This window comes from Homo sapiens, chromosome 5 (assembly GCF_000001405.40).
Source record: "Homo sapiens chromosome 5, GRCh38.p14 Primary Assembly".
NCBI classification, from domain to species: Eukaryota; Metazoa; Chordata; class Mammalia; order Primates; family Hominidae; genus Homo; species Homo sapiens.
In genome coordinates this window covers 95860658-95883226 of record NC_000005.10, presented here as the reverse complement: position 1 = coordinate 95883226, position 22569 = coordinate 95860658, and the positions used below count along the sequence as shown (strand labels likewise).

The 22569-nt window shown below is 43.7% G+C and overlaps 1 long non-coding RNA gene across 2 annotated transcripts, besides 2 other annotated features; it reads right to left on the bottom strand.

Annotated features, from left to right (window-relative positions):
• Positions 1–1620: 1620 nt before the first annotated feature.
• LOC105379091 (uncharacterized) lies at positions 1621–21443 on the bottom strand. 2 transcript variants are annotated; one of them, XR_001742813.2, is made up of 3 exons: positions 19481–21443; positions 8708–8804; positions 1621–6479 (listed from the first exon to the last, which is right to left on the bottom strand). It is a non-coding gene; the product is annotated as an uncharacterized LOC105379091 (long non-coding RNA). The 2 variants fall into 2 exon arrangements; XR_007058880.1 differs by lacking the exon at positions 1621–6479 and having other exon boundaries at positions 8535–8804.
• Positions 19303–19804: an enhancer, noted in NCBI's record as "NANOG hESC enhancer chr5:95199127-95199628 (GRCh37/hg19 assembly coordinates)". NCBI's record gives its function as "activates a minimal SCP1, AML or CMV promoter by ChIP-STARR-seq in naive H9 embryonic stem cells {active_cell/tissue: H9 hESC(naive)}" and the evidence as "EXISTENCE:reporter gene assay evidence [ECO:0000049][PMID:30033119]".
• Positions 20060–21259: an enhancer, noted in NCBI's record as "CDK7 strongly-dependent group 2 enhancer chr5:95197672-95198871 (GRCh37/hg19 assembly coordinates)". NCBI's record gives its function as "activates an origin of replication core promoter dependent on BRD2, BRD4, P300/CBP, MED14 and CDK7 cofactors, with strong dependence on CDK7, by STARR-seq in HCT116 cells {active_cell/tissue: HCT116}" and the evidence as "EXISTENCE:reporter gene assay evidence [ECO:0000049][PMID:35650434]".
• Positions 21444–22569: the final 1126 nt, after the last annotated feature.

The following is a 22569-nucleotide window of genomic DNA, read 5'->3' as shown; positions in this document are numbered from 1 at the left end:
CCCTCCACCCCTTCCTCACTTAGCTAAGTCTTCCATATCCTTAAGATCTCCACTTAGGCATCACTTCCTTCAGGAAGCCTTTCCTAACCGCCCCCCTGCCCCCACCCCATACTACCCAGGTCCTCTGGGTATATGCTCTCTTTCATTCTATACTTCTCCTTTGTGGCATTTATCATAATTATAACTGGATACTAATTGCATTAGTAAGTTCTGTGGGAGTAGAAACTGTCCTGTTCACCAGGGTGTCCCCAGCCTCTAGACTAGTGTCTGCCATATAAAATGTGCTCAGTAATAATTTATTGAAAGAATGAATGAGGCAAACTATTTCTATCGGTCATATTTAAAATTCATGTGGCCCAAGGATTTGGATTACTGCAAGAATCTGCTATCTCATTCAAGTTTGTGTTCCTTGCCACTTTATCTTCCCAAAGTCATGATTAGGAATCAGTTAATGATGGCAGACTGGTGCCCATGACAAACCGACTGATAGAGTTTGGATATTTGTCCCCTCCAAATCTAATGTTGAAATGTGATTACCAGTGTTGGAGGTGGGGCTTGGTGGGAGGTGTTTGGGTTATGGAGACAGATCCCTCACGAATGGCTTGGTGTCTCCATCCGCCCCCCACCCCCACCCCCACCCCACCTCGGTAATAAGTTCATGGGATATCTGGTTGTTAAAAAGAGCCTGGCATCTCCTCTCTCTCACCATGTGTCATACCTGCTCCCCCTTTGCCTTCCACCATAAGTAAAAGCTCCCTGAAGCCCTTCCCAGAAGTGGATGCTAGCACCATGCTTATTGTACAGCCTCCAGAAACATAAGCCAAATCAACCTCTTGTCTTTATAAATTACCCAGCCTCAGGTATTCCTTTATAGCAATGCAAATGGACTAAGACACTGACTTGACTTTGCGAGTCCTTTTGCCACGTGTTTTTATTGACATTTATTTTATGCCTAGCATTTGTGTAATTTTCCAAGTGCTTCCAAGAACTAGCAGAGCCCAATGCTGTTGATGGGCTCTGCTAGTTCTCCAGTTACAGGAATCCCAACCCTTCACATTGTAGATGGTGAAATGAAGACGTCTAAGTGACAGCACGTGGGAAGGCAGGATGGGACCCCAGGAGCTTACACACTCTTCCTAGGTGGTGCCGAGAACAGCCCAGCAGCCACTTCCAAAAAATGATACGAAGACAAGGAGTGGTAAAGTGCCAGGCAAGCTGTGCCAGAGCACAAGCAGCGGGCACAGGGCTTCAGAGCAAGGAGTCTTGCCAGACAGCCTGGCTTAGAGTCCTGTTGTGCCACTCACAAGCCACAGACTGTGGGCATGTTTATAAAGCCCCAGATCCTCTGTTTCCCATCATGAACAGGATAGTACCTGCCTTGGAGGTTGCTGGGCTGACACATACGTAGAGAGGTGTCTGGCACCTCATAAGTTTACTATATGTATTTTTATTGGATACTTTAAAATTATTTCTTTCCATCTTTTATTCAGAGGTGGAAAGTTCTGTAGCAATATATGTAGCAAAGCAACCAGTCAGAGCTGAACAACCCTATTAGGTTAATTTAGATTTTTGCATAAGAGTGATTGATTGAGCTCCCCGGTAAATGGACACAGCCCAGAACATTTTAAAAGCTCTGCTATTGATTTCTCTATCAAAAATCAGATTTCTCTATGAAATACTTTTTTTTTCCTGTGAATCTTTTTTTTTTTTTTTTTTTAAGAGGGAGTCTCGTTCTGTTGCCCAGGCTGGAGTGCAGTGGCACGATCTCAGCTCCCTGCAACCTCCGCCTCCCGGGTTCATGCGATTCTCCTGCCTCAGCCTCCTGAGTAGCTGGGATTACAGGCACACATCACCATACCCGGCTAATTTTTTGTGTTTTTAGTAGAGACGGGGTTTCACTATGTTGGCCACACTGGTCTTGAACTCCTGACCTCGTGATCTGCCCACCTTGGCCTCCCAAAGTGCTGGGATTAGCAGCACTGGCATGAGCCACCACGCCCGGCCCTCTGTGAATCTTTTCAAGTCCCACATTAGCTTCTCTTGGCATCTTGGCTACCAGTAACTTAGACACAGTGCTGATGCATTTGTTCTCAACTTGAGCTGAACTTTGAATATTCTCTCTATTCTCTTTTCCAGTTGTCTTTATAGAGGACAGTTTTTAAAAGAGCGTTTTTGTCTGGAAGCCTAAGTGCTTCTTGCCACCTAGTTACTAGAGGGGGTTGTTCGTTACAGGTAAGATGCTTTGGATAAAAGGCTGCTGTGAAAATCACTCTTTCTTACACCTGTAAGTTTTTCCTTCTCCTCCCAAGGATAGAGTTCATTTAAATCAGCCTTGTCAAAGGAGTGCCAGGAGGGTCTCTAGGGGTCTCGTGGCCACCTGAGCTTCAGAACTCTGCAGCTGAGAACAGCTGTAAGGGGACACTAGGGACCGTCAGCAAAGCCACCTTTTTCTCCACCCTCCTCCTTCCCTCCTCTTTCTCTGCCCCTGTTGACAAATCTTTATTGCTGTGGTAGCCAATTATCATCCACCCCTCCCTTCCTTAACTCACCCTCCCCACCTGCTCCTCCCTTCTCTTCACTCCCTCCTCTTGACTGAGTGAATGACCCTGGCTCCCCTCTTCTGTTAGCATGCACATCTTACCATTTTCCCCTTGTCTTTGGTTAAAAATGACCTGACATATAGATGGTGACAAGGCCAGGTCAGAAATAGGGACCTAAAAGCATGAAAAATTGGGGAGGATAGAAAATGCTTTGTGGTATTGGGGGAAAGAACGGAACATGGAGTTCTCTACCCTGGGCCTGAGTTCCAGTTGTGACATTCACCTACCTTTGACCCAGGGCAATTTGCCTAAACCCCTAGATCTTCTTTCTTTCATCCCTGGTAATGTAGGATAATGCCTGTGAAGTTTAAACACTGTCACATTGACCATGAGGGACAATCATAAAGCAACAGCGATTGTCATGTGTGTCCCTACAAATCCACTTTTTGGGGGCTGTTTGCCTTCAGAGATGAAATTTCTGGCGGTTCCCAGAATTCCTCAGAGACAGCTACTTTTAAATAAGTCCTGTATTCACTTTTAGCAAGGGCCTCATTTCAGTAACTCACAAGTCCAGTCATGTAACAGCCACAGTTCTGAAATACATTTAGAACTGAATATTCTCCCCTCGTCCAGCTTAGGCCTGCTTTAGTCTGGAAGCCAAGTGCTTTTTGCCATCCTCCCCACTCCTCCCACCACCCAGCATTTCCCAGGATGAAAGGGTGGGAAGGTAGGGAGGAGAGACAAGGAGCATGAGAGGGCTGATTGAATGACAGCTTTGAAGTCCTTGGCCTTGGTTTCCTTTGGGCATTGTCAAAGCCCACCCTGGTTGCCTCGGACTCCTCTGACCTCTCCTATGGCTGGCCCTTGCAGTGGCCTTCAGCATCTGCCTCCAATAGCATACTGCCGTCACTTCAGGCAAGAAGCTAGTAAGCTTACTGCCCATTTAAAAATGATCATACCAACATGCCAACTCGAGGTGTCCCATCTGGTCGCTCACCCACACTCCCACCCCAGTCATAGACCAATCAGCACTTTTGGGCTGGTATCCGTGAGTGTAGTGACTTCCAAATGCATCCTTGACTCTGCTAGACCTTTATTTTCAGGCACAAGTCACATACCAGCCCTGTGTGTCCCCCAAGCTTGAGGTGTCACAAATTACTTTTTCTAAGTACTCTTTATGAAGCTGTTCTCTTTAGCCTTGTGGCAAGAGGGAAGCTCACTGCCAACCCTCTATAGAAACCCTGATTTCTAACATGAGCTGACTTTTCTACTTCCACCCCTTACATCAGTGAGGAGCCAGAAGTGAAGGGAGAAAAACTGGCTTTTTTTTTTTACTACTCCTCTCTGTGAGTCCTGCAATATAGGGTTCAGAATCTGAGTTACACTACAGTGTGGAAGTTGTGGATGTAGATGGCACATCTTGTGACTTCAACCAAAGCTGTCAGCAAGTCCTGCATGAAACCCTCTTATATATATTTGTGAGTTCCTCAGTCATAGAAGCCATGCATATTTGTTCTGCAAATATTTACATAGACTTTGTGCTAGGTGGTGGGAATACACCATTGAACAAGAGAAATGCAAATGACACAACTTGATTCCAGTTGTGGTAAATGCTCCAAAATAAAAGGTTGGCTGTGAGAATTAATAATAAGGGGACGTGGCACAGTGAGGCAGTGGGGTCAGGCTTCCCCAAGAGGTGGCTAAAGCTAATATTTGTTGAGGGGAGAGCTCCATAAAGAGCATGGTAGACAGGCCCCAAGGTAAGACGGACTTTAGGCTCACTGAATGTATGTGTATCCAAATCACTTCTCATTAACAAAAGCTATTTAGGGCCTTGCTTTTTTGTTGCTGAACTTGTTCCTTCAATGGCTTGTTTGCCTTTACTACCCATTGCTGGGGAGATGAAGCCCAGACATGATTCCCTCCTCAGGTCTAGGCATGTCAGTTAGTGCCTTATCAGTGGTGTTTTGGTATTTGAGGTTCTTATCTGTGAGCGTCTCTTGTTGCTAATTAGTTCTGAGGAAAGTTTCCAAAACAGAGAGATTGCATTTTAGTGGCCAGTGGACCTCAAACTGGCCCACGGGATTTCACATGGGAAAGTTTGAGCTGGGGAGGAACCATGACTGCCTTCCCCAGCGCCCTCCGTCTTCCTGGAGGCCAGAGGCTGGTGCACAGTGAGTGCAGAGAGCCGAGACTGGCTGGCCCCTCCCTTGTGGAGGTTTCTGGGGTTATAGCCCCATCACTGTGGGGCTCTCAGAGGCCGTTCCTCTGAGAAGAAGAGAAATAACATCTGCACTATTAAAATTGCCCATGAGCTCTGTCTGTTGTCAGCAGCAGGCGAACCATGTGTGTGGTGTGGCTCTAACGAGGTTATTGGTGGGCAAGCAGGAAACTGAAACAAGGGGGCTGGGAGAAAGATGCCCGAGGGTCAGAGAAACTGAAAAGAAGCCCTTTTGGGAATGAAAAATGAGCAAAAGTAAGGAAGCGCAGTAAGTATTTTCTTACCAGACCACTTGACAATCAATGCTTTATGCCTTTTTTTTTTTTTTTTTTTTTTTCCCGAGACGGAGTCTCGCTCTGTCTCTCCCAGGCTGGAGTGTAATGGCGCGATCTCCGCTCACTGCAAGCTCCGCCTTCCGGGTTCACGCCGTTCTCCTGCCTCAGCCTCCCGAGTAGCTGGGACTACAGGCGCCCGCAACCACGCTCGGCTAATTTTTTGTATTTTTAGTAGAGACGGGGTTTCACCGTGTTAGCCAGGATGGTCTCGATTTCCTGACCTTGTGATCCGCCCACCTCGGCCTCCCACAGTGCTGGGATTACAGGCGTGAGCCACCGCGCCCGGCCTCTTTATGCCTTTTACAGATGTTTCCAGGCTTTCTCAATGGGCCCTTCTTTTAAACTATTTTTAGCATGAGGTGGGATAAACCACCAAGAAGAAACAGGCCAGGAAAGGTCCATCGGTATCAGCGCTAGCCAAGAATGCAGGTCGTGGCCGGGCGTGGAAGCTTAGGCCTGTAATCCCAGCAGTTTGGGAGGCCAAGGCGGGCGGATTGCCTGAGGTCAGGAGTTCGAGACCAGCCTGGCCAAGCTGGTGAAACCCTCTCTCTACTAAAAATACAAAAATGAGCCGGGCATGGTAGCGGGCGCTTGTGATCTTAGCTACTCAGGAGGCTAGGGCAGGAGAATCACTTCATCTCGGGAGGCGGAGGATGCAGTGAGCCAAGATCACGCCATTGCACTCCAGCCTGGGTGACAGAGTGAGACGGTGTCTCAAAAAAAAAAACAAAAAACAACACAGGTCTTATCTCCCCCACTGTACCCACCTCCTGTCAGCCTGCCTTAAGAGCTCATCCTCTCAGGCTTGGTGCTGAGCCCCAAAATTGGCCTGGTAACTGGAGGGACCCAGTAAGGTCTCCTCACAGCCCAGTCATGTTCTGCCTCCTTGAAAGTTTTTCTCCCAAGAGTACTGATGTAAACCCCTTTTTACAGGAGGTAACATTTCCATTGCCCTGCTCTGCTCTGGGCCAGGCATTCCTCACTGCCTCGGCTTCTTCAACCAGGTAAACACCTCAATCTGCTATGAAAATGCCTCCCTTCCTGCTAACATTACCCTTGAGTTGAGGCCATTCCACAGATAACTTGACAGCCCTCAGGGCCCCCACCCACTATTGTAACCACCCCTCCTCCTGTATTCTGCCTGGAGGTGGGATGCAATGCATCATGGCCAGACTCAGTTTCCACCTATTGGTGCAACGTATGGTAATTGCTGTTTGCATTCAGCTCAGAACAAAAGGAAATCTGTTCTACACCCTTGTTCTGATCTGTACTCACACTGATAAGGATAGCCTAACAACAGCCATGCTTACCCATTGTTTGTCAGAGCACCAGTTCTCAGAGGGTATCCTCTGACCCCCGGCAGCAACAGCAGCACCTGGGAACCTGTTAGAAATATAAATTGTCAGGCTCTGCCCCAAACCTGCTTAATTGAAAACTCATGGGGTAGGACCCAGCAATCAGTGCTTTAACGAGTGCTCCAGGTGATTCTTACTTGAGGCTGTTTGTGTGCTCCACCATCTAGTTCATTAGAATCACCTGGGGAGTTTTTTTTTAAACCACACCATTGCCCAGGCCCCGACCTAGACCAAGTGAACCAGAATCTGTTGGGGTGAGGCCTAGGCAGAGGGTGTTTGTAAAATTCATCAGGTGATTCAAATGAATGGTGAAAAGTGAGGATCAGCTTCCTAGGTAAGACTGGCATCTCCCAAATAAATGCAGGGGAATGTAGGCATTACCCAAAAAGAGTTCTGTAGCCTTTGTAGCATTTGAAAAATGCTAGATTTAATAGTTAACACTTTATTTATTTATTCAGAGACAGAGTCTCACTCAGTCGCCCAGGCTGGAGTGCAGTGGCGTAATCTTGGCTCACTGCAACCTCTGCCTCCCGGGTTCACACCATTCTCCTGCCTCAGCCTCCCAACTAGCTGGGATACAGGTGCCCATCACCACGCCCAGCTAATTTTTTGTATTTTTTAGTAGAGAGGGGGTTTCACCGTGTTAGCCAGGATGGTCTTGATCTCCTGACCTCATGATCCGCCTGCCTCGGCCTCCCAAAGTGCTGGGATTACAGGCGTGAGCCACCGCGCCCAGCCAACACTTTTATTTTTATGAAGGACTTTTATACACCTTTAATATGCTGAAATGTTCTCCAAGAGGGCATAGAGACCACAGTGTGCCCATTTTTATGAGAGTCTCTTAGAATCAATTTTCCAAGGAACACAGATTTTGGAAGTGCTACTTAAGGTTTTATGCTAAAAGCTATTTCTACAGCAAGTCAGGTCCCCAGAATGCCATGCACCTGTGCTCTGCTTCACTGCCTCTTTTGTTTTTGTTGTTGGTGGTTTTTTTGTTTGTCTGAGACAGAGTCTCCCTCTCGCCCAGGCTGGAGTGCAGTGGCACAGTATCTCAGCTCACTGCAACCTCCATCTCCCGGGTTCAAGCAAGTCTCCTCCCTCAGCCTCCTGAGTAGCTGGGACTACAGGTGCCCCCCACCAAGCCCAGCTAATTTTTGTATTTTTAGTAGATACGGGGTTTCACCATGTTGGCCAGGCTGGTCTTGAACTCCTGACCTCAAGTGATCCACCCACCTCGGCCTCCCAAAGTGCTGGGATTACAGGTGTGAGCCACCGCACCCAGCCCAGTTCCCTGCCTCTTAAGCCATCTCTTTATCATAGCTAAGGCCCCTGTAAGTAATGGTGATATGAGGAACATCCCTGTTTGATTGTTTGTACCGTTGCTCTCAACAACTCTGTTATCCAGCATCCTTTATAAAATTATATAATAAAGTTTTCTTAGAGTTTATGCTGGGGAAAATGTATATCTCTCTGGGTGAACCAGTGTACCTCCTTAAATTAGATAATGAGAACTTTGGTGCCCACTGTGTTGTCTTGTGTCAGAAACTAAATATTAAGTTTTGTTCCCGATCACAATTGATTAGTTTGCGTATATTTTTACCTCCCCACAACTGTAGTCAGTGATGTCATTTCATCTCTTTTAATAGTTTCATGACTTAGCAATATTTATCATCATCTATTTTTAATCCCGTTTAGAAGATTAGAGATAGATAGCTTTGGTATAATCTTTAAAATGAAAAAATAGGTTGGTACTACTGCAAACCTCTCTCTCTAAAAACTCCTTGCACTATCTGTATACAGAAGAGTTATACAAGTGCAAAGAAAAACTCCAAAACTGCCATTGTTCCAACTGTTACCTCCTGTAAAATCTAAGATAAAAATCTGAAATTTGTAATGGCCATATGTTTTAAAAGATTATATAGTATTTCTGGAAATGTGATTTTCCTATTTTACCTATTTAGTCTCATGAGCATTCTTCATAAATACCTAGTCATCCCAGAAATTCTGGAAGAGTGCACTGAATGTCCTAAACAATACTTTTCAAATGTACATCTATTACTGTCTAAAAAAATCTCCCCCAGAATTTAGCAGCTTAAAACAACAAGCATTTATTATCTCACACAGTTTCTAGGAGCAGCTTAGTTGGATGGTTTGAGTTCAGGATCTCATACAAGGTTGCAACCAAGCTATTGACTGGGATGGCAGTTGTCTCAAGGCTTGACAGGGGCTGGGGAATCCACTTCCAAGCTCACTTACATGGTTGTTGGCATTGGTCGTTTGACTGGAGCCCTCTGTTCCTCACCATGTGCAGCTTTCCACAGGCTGCCTGAGTGTCCTGACACATGGCAGCTGGCTTCTCCCAAAGTGAGCGTTGAAAGAGAGAGAACACAAGTGATCGCACTTAAGATGGAAGCCACCATCTTTTACAATCTAATTTCAGAAGTGCAGATTCTGCTGTTAAGTAACATTTCTCTTCACAGCTTCCCTTTAGCAATACTTCCTTTAGGATAGGACCACAGCCCTAAACTTATGAGTTTTTGTAAAAACTAGCATTGGGATTCTTCTTATTTCTGAGAAGTTTTCTATTTATCAGCTGTTGAGTGTTAGCTGATTTCCAGCTGAATGAGATATAGAGTCTATGATGCTATTAGTCAAGGTTTTGCCTCTGCCAGCCTGTCCCAGGCAGAAGCATCTGATGTAAAAACATAAAGGAGAGAAAAAAATGTGAGAGAAGACAGGACTAATAAATAATCAACTCTTATGATTGTGATGGTTTGCCTCCAGAATCCCCATTCATTCATTAAAACCAATAGTTATGGCACATTTCCCATGTGACACCATTCTAGGTACTGAGGATAACACAGTAAACAAAACAAAGTCCTGCCCTCAAGGGGCTAACAGTTTGTGAATGTCAGAGCCAAGTATTCCCAGGAGAAGAATACAGAGAAAGCAAACATTTTCTTTAACAAACACTTATATAGTTCTCGCTGTACGTCTGGCACTGCTGCAAGCACTTTGAAAATAATTAAGTCAGCTACTCCTCATAATAACCTACAAATGTTATCCCCATTGTATGGCTGGGCCACAGAAAGGTTGAGTACTTTCTTAGGGCCACACAGCTATTAATAGCTAGTAAGTCACAGAGCTGGACTTTGAACCCAGGCAGTCTGGCCACAGAGTCCATGTTCTTCACCACCCTAGGCTAAAAGTGTTGTTCTCTGATTTTTGAGTAATCACTGGTGCCAGTTGTAAATTAATCCACAAATAGTAAATTTTGATCACTAAGTACTGCTGTGGAAATTGACCAGTGACCTAAGGTTATAAGTTCCTTTTTTCAGAAATCAGCCGTGCGTGGTGGCTAGCCGGGCACGGTGGCTCATGCCTATAATCCCAGCACTTTGGGAGGCCAAGAAGGGCAGATCACTTGAAGTCAGGAGTTTGAGATCAGCCTGGCCAACATGGCAAAACCCCATCTCTATTAAAAATACAAAAATAAGCTGGATGTGGTGGTGCGTGCCCATAATCCCAGATATTCAGGAGGCTGAGGCATGAAAATCGCTTGAACCTGGGAGGTGGAGGTTGCAGTGAACTGAGATCACACCACTGCACTCTAGCCTGGCGACAGAGCAAGACTGTCCAAAAAAAAAGGAAAGGAAGGGGAAGGGGAAAGGGAGGAAAGGAAAGGGAAGGAAAGGAAAGGAGAAAGAAAGAAGAAAGGAAGAAGGAAGGAGAAAAGAAAAGTTTCATGTAGCCTGTGTCTTTTCACTGCATGGGAAATCAGTGTCCCCAGAAGAGCATTCCAAACGGTCCTGAGACAACCAACAGGAGAGGAGAATCCAAAGCTCTGTCAGGCATCAAGTCCAAATGATGAGGTAGAGATGGAAACCAGAAACCAAGCAATGACATTGGAGGCCCATCTGGTCTGGAGCATGACAGGATGAAGCAGGATGAACAGGTCAAGGCAAGAGGTTCAGGCTGGAGGCTGTGGACAGCAGGTCCTGGATGGTACCCAAGAAGTGCTGCCAGGATGGGAATAGAATCTAAAGGACACTCGTGAGCAAATCGGTTTCATCAGATTATCATCCTAACTCACTGACCATGACTGTTATGATGATCCAGTAACAAACAAAAATGTGTCCTCTTTTTCTCAGTCTGTTGTAAAAAGTCATTTCTGCTCTGGTTTTTTTCTTTTCTTTCTTTTTTGTTTAGAGACAAGGTCTTGCTGTGTCACCCAGGCTGGAGTGTAGTGGCATGATAATAGCTAACTGCAGCTTCAAACTCCTAGGCTCAGGGGATCCTCCCAAGTAGCTAGGACTGCAGGCATGCCATTTTGCTTCACTTAGTTCATTCAAAAAACACTTATTGGGAAGAGAATAGATGTAAAATGGTAGTAAGATGCTGCTTAATATATAAAAATGAATAAGACTTGAGACCTACTTTCAAGAAACATATGGTATAACTAACATGGGTAAGAAGAGAAATCTATAACTATAATAAGATGCATTAAATGAGGTCAGTGAACGATCACCGTTATTATGAGAGTGATGATGATGGTGAAAGGAGCTATAAAGAGTGAAATGAGTGTAATCACATTCAGATGAAGGGATGGTAAAATCAAAAGGAAAAAGAAGAAATCATGGGCAACATTTATCCTAAGTAATGAGGTAGGGTGGTGTAATGGCAAGACATGGGCTCACCTCTCAGATCGTACAATTTCCATGTGCCTCAGTGTAACCACTGAGTTCTTTGAACTTTAGAGTTTTTTTCTTTTTCTTTGGAAAATTAGCGAATACTACTAACCTACTGTAAGGATCAAGTGGAATAATGCATGTCAAGATCCCTGCACAATGCCTGGCTCATAGTAGCTGTTTTGTAAATGTTTATTTTCCTTCCAAATTAAGTCTACTTGCGTAACATGCTTCATTCCTTAATTGCCATTATCTGTTGTATTAACTATCTAACATATATAAAGACTTTTTAAAAAATATTCTGACTGGGAGCGGTGGCTCACACTTGTAATTCCAGCACTTTGGGAGGCCGAGGCAGGCAGATCACTTGAGGTCAGGAGTTCACGACCAGCCTGGGCAACGCAGTAAAACCCCATCTCTACTAAAGATACAAACATTAGCTAGGTGTGTTGGCTCAAGCCTGTAATCCCAGCTACTCAAGAGGCTGAGACATGAGAATCGCTTGAACCCGGGAGGTGGAGTGCGGTGAGCTGAGATCGCGCCAGTGTGCTCCAGCCTGAGTGATAGCATGAGACTCTGTGTCAAAAAAAAAAAAAAAAGTTCTTACCTCTTGTTAAGTATATCTGTTATGTAATTGATTGTATAACTTTTAGCTGTATCATTGCTCTTGTTCTATTAACCTTATGTCTAAAAAGCAAATGATGTACACTGTACTTTCCTGGCCAAAAAAAACCCCACAAAAAACAAATAAGAGAACCATTGTGAAAGTGGTTTTCAAACTATCAAGTGTAGGAAATGGTATTATCATAATGTGTACCTTATCTTATGTTCCCTCATTTAGAAAGAAATCCCTGCCCTCTACCCTTTGAGTGGGAGACACCTTTAGCAGATTTGAACTGGGTTTTTACCCTGGCATGTCTTTAGGCAAGTTTTGTAGTGACTGCAGGCTATTTCTTTGGAATATTTAGGGTCTGCTTGAGGCTGGCTTGGAACTTGGCCAGTGCTTTCCATAGAGGTGCAACACTGTACATGTAAAAAGAAAATAGATCAGAATCTCCTGTAGCTGTGCTGTCTCGTTCCTCAGCTAAAGGTCATTCTTAATCCTTCTATAGCTCCCAGAATGCTGTATGCAGTGGTTTTTTAAATGCGCCAGGGAGGAAATGGCATCTATAAAGCAAAGCAGGAAACAACCTCTTCACAGGAGCAAGAGACCACAAATGTTCCAGAATTCCATTTAAAACACTGCAAAGATGAGTTCTAGGGAAACTTATGGTCATGTTTTTCCCATAGTTAAATTTTGGAACTATATTCCTGGGTAGGATTATGGCTGGGACTTTAACCATCAGCCTTCTGTAAAAGGGAATGAAGAAAGAGGCAAGTCCATGAACCAGTGTCACCACGGACGCAGAGGATGGTATTAACCATGGCTGGGGAGTTCCCACTAAACCCAGGGACCACCAAGCTGAGATCAATGTGAGACTAACTGCTTCTCAGAAACATAGAAATCAAAAGCAACACTGAGAATGTCACACTCAGACTGTTGTGAAGCACATGGCATTGAACACTGAGAATCCGTGGGCCTGACCTGCAGAGCTGACTCCTTTCCTTAGCAGCCCCATTTCTCAGGAGGAGCAGCAAACCCCCACCTCCAGTAGAAGCCAACCAAGTCCATTTCCCATAGCCACTGGCAGCCCCTTAATCACTGAGTATTTTCCACAGGCTGGACTACATAGAACTTACCCATTCAGAGAAGGGGTTATTTCAAAACTAAAAGTAAATTTGTTCTCTGAATATGATCTCATTTCCACATTTCCTAAGCTTACCAGCAGCTTGAGTTTCCTTTTTTCTATTCATAGCAGTTCCTTCATCTACTTTTGACTCAACCCTTATCAAAGCAGGTATAGTTCCCTCAGACATTTGTCTGGAAAAACCATGTAAGTGACTCAACAACAAACAACTAAGGAAGCATGAGCACTGCTGTATCATCTTTTTGGTTTAGTATCCTTTATTTTCTAGAAGTGATGCTTTTGTATCTAGCTTCTTTGTATGTATTAGCTAATAGAACAAAAACAGAAAAATATTTACATATATATATTTTACACAAATATATATGTATATATATAAAATGTGTTGGCCAACACCCTTATAATTTACTGCATAAGTTGTACACATTAAAAGAAAAAAAAGATAGCAATGTCTCCTTTAAAAGTTATGCCAAAATTAAAACCCATGCCACTTGAAAAGGTTAAAGCATACTATTTCTAACACCTATTAAACTTCTTTGCTTTCTTAAAACATTCTGTACAGATACTGCCTAACTGTGGAAATCAGTACATCCTTTTCCTCTTTTTAGCCCCTAAAATAAAACTAGCTCCCTCAAGCCAAAAAAAAAAAAGAGGTAGGTTTTGTTTTGATTTCTTCTTATGTGGTATCTCAGCTCATGCTGAGGAAGTGGCTGCAAACGTGTTCACTGTGCCCACACTGTGGTTCCCCAGGCTTGGGGCTGGGGGATGAAGTTTTGTGAAACTTGGTTTAGCCTGGGCTTATTTTGGTGCCTGAGCCCAAATATTTCTTGCCTCTTTCTGCTCCTACTCTCATGCCACTTTTCATTCTTTATTTCTTTTCTTTCTTTTTTTTTTTTTTTCTTTTTTTGGAGACAGAGTTTTGCTCTGTCACCCAGGCTGGAGTGCAGTGGCATGATGTCGGATCACTGCAACCTCCACTTCCTGAGTTCAAGCGATCCTCCTGCCTACAGGTGCATGCCACCATGCCTGGCTAATTTTTTTGTATTTTTAGTAGAGCTGGGGTTTCACCATGTTGGCCAGGCTGGTCTCAAACACCTGACCTCAGGTGATCCTCCCACCTCAGCCTCCCAAGTAGCTGGAATTACAGGTGTGTGCCACCATGCCCAGTTTTGTTTTGTTTTGTTTTGTTTTTTTGAGGGAGCAGGTCTCGCTATGTTGCCAAGGCTGGTCTTGAACTCCTGGCCTCAGCCTCCCAAAGTGTTGGGATTGCAGGCGTGAGCCACCATGCCCAGCCTCACACCACATCTTGATGTGGGCCTTAGCTTATTTTTATGTAGCTGTTAGCCCACTTTTGTACTTGCCTTCTCAGCTTCCCTCAAGGGGCCTAGAAGGCATCAAAGTCAAGACAACTCTAAAAGTTTATTTTGACAAATAGTCTAAAGCCATGACTATCTGTTGTAGAAATATCTGGTCACTTTAGCAAAAACACAAAGCAAATATACATTGGCTGTAGATCTCACATGAATTTTATCATTTCTTGCCATTAAGCTTATGCTATAGAAGCCTGCCAGTTGGGGACAAGCTGTGAAATTTGGGTTTTATAAGCAGATATACCAGGAAGGTACAGGTGATACTGTTCTTTTTAGTTCTTGTGATTGTCCTTTGGGCCAGTAGCAAAGAAGCCATCCTGGCAGAGGAGCTGACTTTGAGGTCTGCAGACACCCAAGGGGCTCTTGGATAGAATTCCAAGGTTCTATAAACTTGGATGGGGAAAGACCCACTTATTTGTTTTCACTAACCTGTAACTAAAATTTAGCAATTTTTTCAATTAAGAAGGCAGGTAACTGTCTTAGTCCATTTGTGTTGCTATAAAAAAAAATCTAAGTCTGGGTAATTCATAAGGAAAAGAGGTTTAATTGACTCATGGTTCTGTGGGCTGTATAAGAAGCATGGTGCCAACATCTGCTCCTTGTGAGGGCCTCAGGTTGCTTTCACTGAAGGCAAAAGGCAGTGGGGAACCAACAGGTGCAGAGATCACATGGCAAGAGAAGCAGCAAGAAGGAAGAAAGAGGGAGGTGAGAGGCTCTACTTTTTTTTGAGACTGAGTCTCTGTTTCCCAGGCTGGAGTTCAGTGGCGCGATCTCGGCTCACTGCAATCTCCGCCTCCTGAATTCAAGCAATTGTCCTGCCTCAGCCTCCCAAGTAGCTGGGATTACAGGTTCCCGCCACCACACCTGGCTAATTTTTTTGTATTTTTAGTAGAGACGGGGTTTCACCATGTTGACCAGGCTGGTCTCAAACTCCTGACTTCAAATGATCCACCTGCTTCGGTCTCCCAAAGTGCTGGGATTACAGGCATGAGCCACCACGCCTGGCCAGAGAGGCTCTTTTCAACAACCAGTTCTCTTGAGAACTAAGAATGAGAACTCACTTCTGCAAGAATGGCACCAAGCCATTCATGAGGGATCCACCCCCATGACCCATATACCCCCAAGCAGACCCCAGTCCCAACAGTGGGGGTCACATTTCAAAATGAGATTGAGTGGAGCCAAACAAACGATATCCAAACCGTAGCAGTAACAAACAACAATCAACACCTGTGACTCAGTCACCAACAGTTGTTGCTAATGCTTTGAAACATCATTTAAGTTCATCACCATTTTGAAGATACAATACTTATTTAAATCCATCAGTAGATCTTATTTAATGTATTAATAAAGAAGCATCTAACTATATCACATATTTTTAAAAAGTATTTGATAACTATTCTTCAGTATAATTGGTTTCTTTGGTATCCTATGTATTTAGTTTTATGCTTTTAAAAACAGCATTGTGAGAAAGAGTCAAGGGTTCTACAAGACTTCTAAAAGACACCATGTTTCTAAATCAAAGATTGGCACTCCCGGCAGTAGGTTTCTTGAATTGTCAGTTATAGATACATCAATCACAACAGAAACATGGTGGATGATAATGGCCAATGCTTAAGAAATTTAATTTAGGCATGGGCTTCTAATACGGGTTCAACCCTCCTGGGCTAAGACGCTTCAGTGAAAGGGTGGAGATAAAGAGAACCTACTGTCAGCAAGCTTTCAGAACTGCAAGGCAAACCATTGCATAACCACAGGCTTGATTCACTAGTTGGCCACCTTTATTCAGCTTGTTGAGATTACAATATTCTTGACTTCAAGGATGATTACAGGTTACTAGGCCTTCAGGTTCAAAATTGCCCTCTGCAGCTTTTGTGAACTCCCCTGACTCCCTATGTATTGCCCATTGAGTTCCCTGATTCCTTGTCCTAGAAGTTCTAACATAACTTTGACTTAGGGTTTCATTTAGAACTTTACAAGAAATAAGGTTGTCACCAACAGAAATTGACTCTGTAATGTCAGGTCCTACTGGACTTGAGATTATTTTTCCCTCAGTTTCAGCTGATTCATATTCTCAATGGCTCACTCAGTTATGACTCAATAATGATGATATCATTTTAAATTATAAAATTTGAAGAGAACCATGGACAGAAATAGAAGGGGAAAACATGTAAAATGAATAAGAATAAAAAGAAAACATGTCAAATGAATAACAGTGTTCCTTTGTCTTGGTATAAAATGGAAACTTTTCTAATAATAACACATAATTTACATGAGTGCTTTTATAGTCATTATTTGGTTTGATGTCCATAGCAACTCTGTGAGGTAAGCAGTTGCAGAAGCTGAATCTCAGAGAACCTAAAGGACCAGCTGGAGGCCTCAGACGAGAAAGCAAGTCCTGACCCAGGCCAGGGATTCTTCTGCTCTCTGGGCCTGGTCTTCTTCTCACAACACAACATCTGAGGAACCCAGAGCCCTTTGGTGAAACTAAATAAAATGACATAAACAAAAACAAAGAACTGTGTGCTGACTGAAAAGTGAATGAGATTGAGTAGCAAAATACTAAATATAGGCTGGGCATGGTGGCTCACACCTGTAATCCCAGCACTTCGGGAGCCTGACGCGGGTGGATCACCTGAAGTCAGGAGTTCAAGACCAGCCTGGCCAACATAGTGAAATCCCATCTCTACTAAAAATACAAAAAATTAGCCAGACATGGTGGTGCACACCTGTAATCCCGGGTACGTGGGAGGGTGAGGCAGGAGAATCGCTTGAACCCGGGAGGCAGAGGTTGCAGTGAGCCGAGATAGCACCATTGCACTCCAGCCTGGGCAACAAGAGTGAAACTCCGTCTCAAAACAACAACAACAAAAACTAAATATAGGCACAATGCCCAAGTTTTCTGGGAAAGCTCTTAATGTTCATAACACTCACAGAAGAGAGAAGAGGACAGAGAAGGATCATTGGCCATTCTAAGGAAAAGAAAGAGATGATCATGTACATGAAAGGTAGGATCCAGCAAAAGAACCTGGAGATCAGAAACAACAGAGAATCTACCTTAAGTTCTATCTCAATTTTTAACAAGTTTACTGCTGATCTACTCATACGTTTGCTTTGTTTTGATATATATACACACACATAAATATATAAATAATATCTGCATGTATATTTGATGCATTTTTCATGCTGCCACTACATAGTATGATCTATGATGCAAATAATAATGGCTTGGGTTTTTAAATATAATTTCTATATAGTTTGTTGAATCACATACAACAAAAAATATCTAACATGTTTGGTTCTATTCACAAATAAGTAAATAACTCCAGGTCTTGGTTGTTTTTTATTGCAATTGGGACAGATTTTTGTTTTGTTTTTTAATTATCTCTTTCCCATCTACAGGGAAAACTTCGTGCTCATAAAAAGAAAAGGAGGCTGGAGGGCCCTGGCTGGTCGCTAAGCATTGTACATGCAGCCAGTTGCTACACAGGTTTCCTGATCCTGATTTGAATCTCAGGGGCCAGAGCTGTGTGTGTTCCACAAAAGGCCCTTTGAAACTCCCTTCCCTTCCTGGTTTGACAAAGCCCTAGACGAATGACCTTTGAGGGACGGACGCATTGGTTTGGCTTGGCCTCTGATCTCTCATGAAGGACTGTGAGCCACACTTGTCTGCCTGGGATCTGCTGCCTACTTCCTCCATTTTATTTAGCTCTTTGGTTATTTTCCTAATGAGCTGTCTGTTTGTCTCCAGCCTTCCAGCCAGAAGATGAATGTTTGCAAATCATAAACTAAGTATGTAGCACTTCGGACCTAAAAGGAGTGGTTCCATACGTTGTGAAATCCACCTACTCTGGAGCACTTGCCGGGGCTGTCCCTTTATAGTTTGGCCCTTGGCTGGGCAGTCATGCTACCCTCCAGTGAGAGCTGTCCCCAGCCTTGCATTTACATTCTCCCAAATGCCCACCTCCATAGCTGCCCTTCTTCATCTACCCCACCTTGCCAGATGTGCTTAGGAAGCTAACAGGCAGACCACGTACATACTTAGGGCAGCAGCAATTCACAGAAGAAAAGGAAAAATTAAACATATTTTAATCAACCAGGTGGTTACCATGGGAGAAATTTTTATATTTATGTTGTGGCTTTGAATAGCTTTCATTTTGAAGATGGGGTAGCAGAAAACGAATCTTAATATCTTTGATTCATGGAGACTTTAAAGGTCTTTATCAGGTACTGCTTTCTAGAGTTCTACAGACTGATTTTTGCTCCTCCCTGCTTCCCAGTGAATCTTGTACCCCAAGTTGATGTGACTCAGGAGTTAAATCCTGCTGGAAATCTGGAACTTGTCAAGCCTTGATCTGCCTTAACATGAACTATTTAGCTCCTATTGTTCCACCCTTGCATGACCCCAATTAAGGCAATAATAGAACCCAGTACTTTCAGAGTCTTTAAAGCCAAATGATAAAGCTTTATTCCTTAGTTTTGTGGTAGTTTGGAATCTTCATTTTCATGGAGTTGATGAACACTAAGTATTTACTCTCTTCACATATGCAAAAAAAAATTGTATGACCCCAATCTCTCCTGTCTTCTAAAAGACTTAAGTGCGTATTTTCACTAGATCCTACATAGACCCACTATATAAAATGGGCATTGATATTTTTATTTTTAAGACCTAGTAGGTGCTATGTAACCAAATTCTCCTAAATTGTAAGATGGAGTTGACACACCAAGGCAGAAGCACCTGTGGACATTACGCCCATAGGAGTCAACTTGGGTGGGTACATGGTTGCTGCGCTGGTTGGACCATTTCTGCTCTAAGTCACACCAGATGAGGTTGAGAAGGTTAGGAGTTGACTTAGCAGCTGTTAGTTACTACCAAATGCTGTGTGAGCACTAGATCTCAAAAAACTTTGAAATATATATGTGTGTATATATACATGTATGTATATAGTTGTGTGTATATGTATATGTATATATACAGTGTATATATACATATTTGCACACAAAATAAACCAGGTAGACAGTGTACATCTCTTAAAGGAATTACAACAGCACTTCACAATAAAATTTTAAAAACTATATTGCCCACAGCATTTAAAATATAGTGTAGGTATTTTTGACAGCTTTATGAAGTTTTAGAAAAAATAAAACTATATGCAGAAGACCTAATGATTTGATTTACAATGCCAATTTTAAAATTATATTTTCAGAGTTCAAACAACCAATACATACCCTCACCCCCAGCGCCCCAGGTATCCTTTCCTTGGTAACCTCATGCTGGGCAAGAACAAAGGGACTGAAGTGGCAAGATCTACTCCACAGTCTGTGCCTACTCCTTCTCCTTCTACCCTGACAGGAAGAAATCATGGGGCCTGAGATTTCTGTAAACATGAGGCTCTTGCTCAATGCTCTGGGGAACATAAACCCCAAGCCCTGGCAGAGGGGAAATCTCCTCCCACTTTCTAAAACTAGACAGTCGGGCCTAATATGAACCATGGAGTTCAGCAGCACCAGAGCGATCCTGAGTGGTCACAGTGTGTCCACATCAAATCGAAACACACAGGCAATTTGGGTACATTTCCCCTGCCAGTTTAGGATGGAAATGAGAGTTGGAAGAAAGGTCTCAGGAGCCCCAACCTTTTACCCTCCAGGTCACTGGTCACCTCCTTAGGACCTCCAGGACAAACTGCTCCTCTCTGTGGTGTGGGATTTGCTTGCGGAGACAACACGTTTGTTTAGCCTTACACATGAATGCAGAGCATATGGAGAAGTAAACCTCACTGACCACTGCTTCCCCAAGTGACTTCTCTCCCACGCCCCTCATGGAAAGCCCTACAAAGGAAAAATCAATCTTCTCAGCTTTAAACCTGCCTTCTGTCCTCGTCAGATGTTGCCAAGCACGAAGTGTTACGGGGGCTCCTATCACAAAGCAAACAGAGCTGGAGCAGCCGGAAGGAGAGCTGCTCTCTAAAAGCTTTTAAACACTGTTATATTTTTAAAACCACTTACTGAAGAGGTGAGTTATTTTCTACTCCTCCTTCCCCAGAAGCACAGACATTAAGGTTACCTAGAAACTTGTCCAGGAAGCATGTGGCAAATAACAACCATGCAATAGAAACATCCGGATTTGTCATCTAATAGGAGATGGTATCAGCAAGGTCATATTTGGATAGAGGTGGAAGATGAAACTTCATTAGCTTGCATGCCCCAGCTACTGGGGGGCCATTCCCATGTGCTCTGGAGGAGGGAGACTTTGCTTTTATCTTGGCTGGGAGGGCCTTTGATTGGTACAGGTTGGAAATGAGTAAGATCTGAGATTGACGCTTCTTGTACTGAAGACTGCCTGTGGGAATAAAAAGCAGAGGGAGAATAAAAAGACATGAGATGGGGTCGCCTCTACCCTGGAAGAACATCTAATCTGTAGGATGGACGAGATGGGATGTACACAGAGAATGACCTGAGAACAAAATTGTTTTTTTAAGTTTCAGAAGCAAAATAATATTCCGTGAAGGACCAGAAGGGGGACAGGAAGACTTCTTAGTGAAGGTGGTTTTAAATCAGGTCTTGAGAGACAGTGAGAACAGCAGAGAATATGGGAGAGAAGGGATGGGGTGGCTGGCATGGTTCTGTTAGCGAGTCACATGTGCTGAGGACATGGATGTGGTGCTGTTTACTTTGATATTTCATTTCCATTATTGTAGGAGAAGGAAAGGGAGATGACGCCTCTTTATTTTTATAACTTTAGCTCCAGACTTTCTAAAAAAAAGTCTTCATTTCATGAAGGCAGTTTTGCTGTTTCCAAAGAGCTTATTCCTAATGCGTATTTCCAACCAACACCCTCTCTGTGTCAGATGAGGTGATAACATTTGTAATTGCAGAGAAGCAGAAAAGTGTGACTCACCTGTTTCACCACGAAGACTTTGCCGCAGACGTGGGGTTTAGGGAGATTCAGCTGGTATGAAAAAAGCAGCAGGAGCAATGGGCCACTGGGAAAAATGGTCTAGGGATCTTTGCTGCACCCAGTTTCCTCTTGCTTTATCCCAGAATATACCCTTTTTCCAATTCATCATAAAGAAGGGGGACTAGTGAAACTCAGGAATTCTGGAAGTTAAGCTATCTGCAAACTTATTCTGAGGAATCAGTGCAAACACACAGGGCCAGCTATGGGACAATGCCTGGGCTTTCTACACTGACTTCTTTCCATTCGATGGTCATCAGTTTTATCAGGGGCATCAGGGCTTCTGTGTAAGTCACTAAAACATGGCCGAAGGTACTTGAGCAACCACAAAAAAATTTGACGCTAAAAATATAGGCAGGAAATCTCCACATGCAAACAATTCTCAGGAAGAGGAGAGGGGTGCGTCATAAAAGTCCGGCTGACATTCTACACTCCTCTCAAATTACATGCAGCCAGTGCCGTCGGCCTGAAAATATTGAGCAATATTCCAGCCGTCCTCTTGTCACATGTACTTCATGAATGCTGGGCTCATCAGGCAGAAGCACCCAGGCATCAAAACACTCGCCTGAGAATTGAGGAACGTGGCCACCGTCTTCTTGGCGAGACCTCGACTGTAGGAAGCACCTGACCTCAGCTCCTCTGAAAATGGAATGAAGCATTTTACAGATCTGTACCTGGTCTTCCCCAGTCACTTCAAAAAGGATAAGAGGCAGGAGTTTAAAGTATGAGTTGGAAGTTGAAAGATTTAGTGGCCCTTCTGACATCCCATGGTCTCAGGAAATTCAGTTAAGCTCTCTGCGAGTTTCCATTTCCCCATCGCTGAAATGATGTGAATTCATGCTACCTATTCGGCGGATATTAAAATGCAATAGACCTAGGCATTGTTCTATGTATGGGAGAGTGTATGTGTATTGATAACTATTGTTTTCTTTTCCAGACTTACTGTTCTCACTACCCTGATGTATCCAGATCAGTTAAAACCTATTACTTAGCAAAGTTTCAGTTTGAATTTGTGTCCTCTCACACACACATAAAACACATACACACACACACTCAAAAAGGATCAGAATTCTTTTTTCTTTTCTTTTTTTTTTTTTTGAGACTGAGTCTCGCCCAGGCTGGAGTGCAGTGGTACAATCTCGGCTCACTGCAATTTTTGCCTCCCAGGTTCAAGCGATTCTCCTGTTTCAGCCTCCTGAGTAGCTGGGATTACAAGCACCTGCCACCATGCCCGGCTAATTTTTGTATTTTTAGTAGAGATGGGGTTTCGCCATGTTGGCCAGGCTGGTCTCAAACTCCTGACCTCAGATGATTCACCCGCCTGGGCCTCCCAAAGGGCTGGGATTACAGGCATGAGCCACCG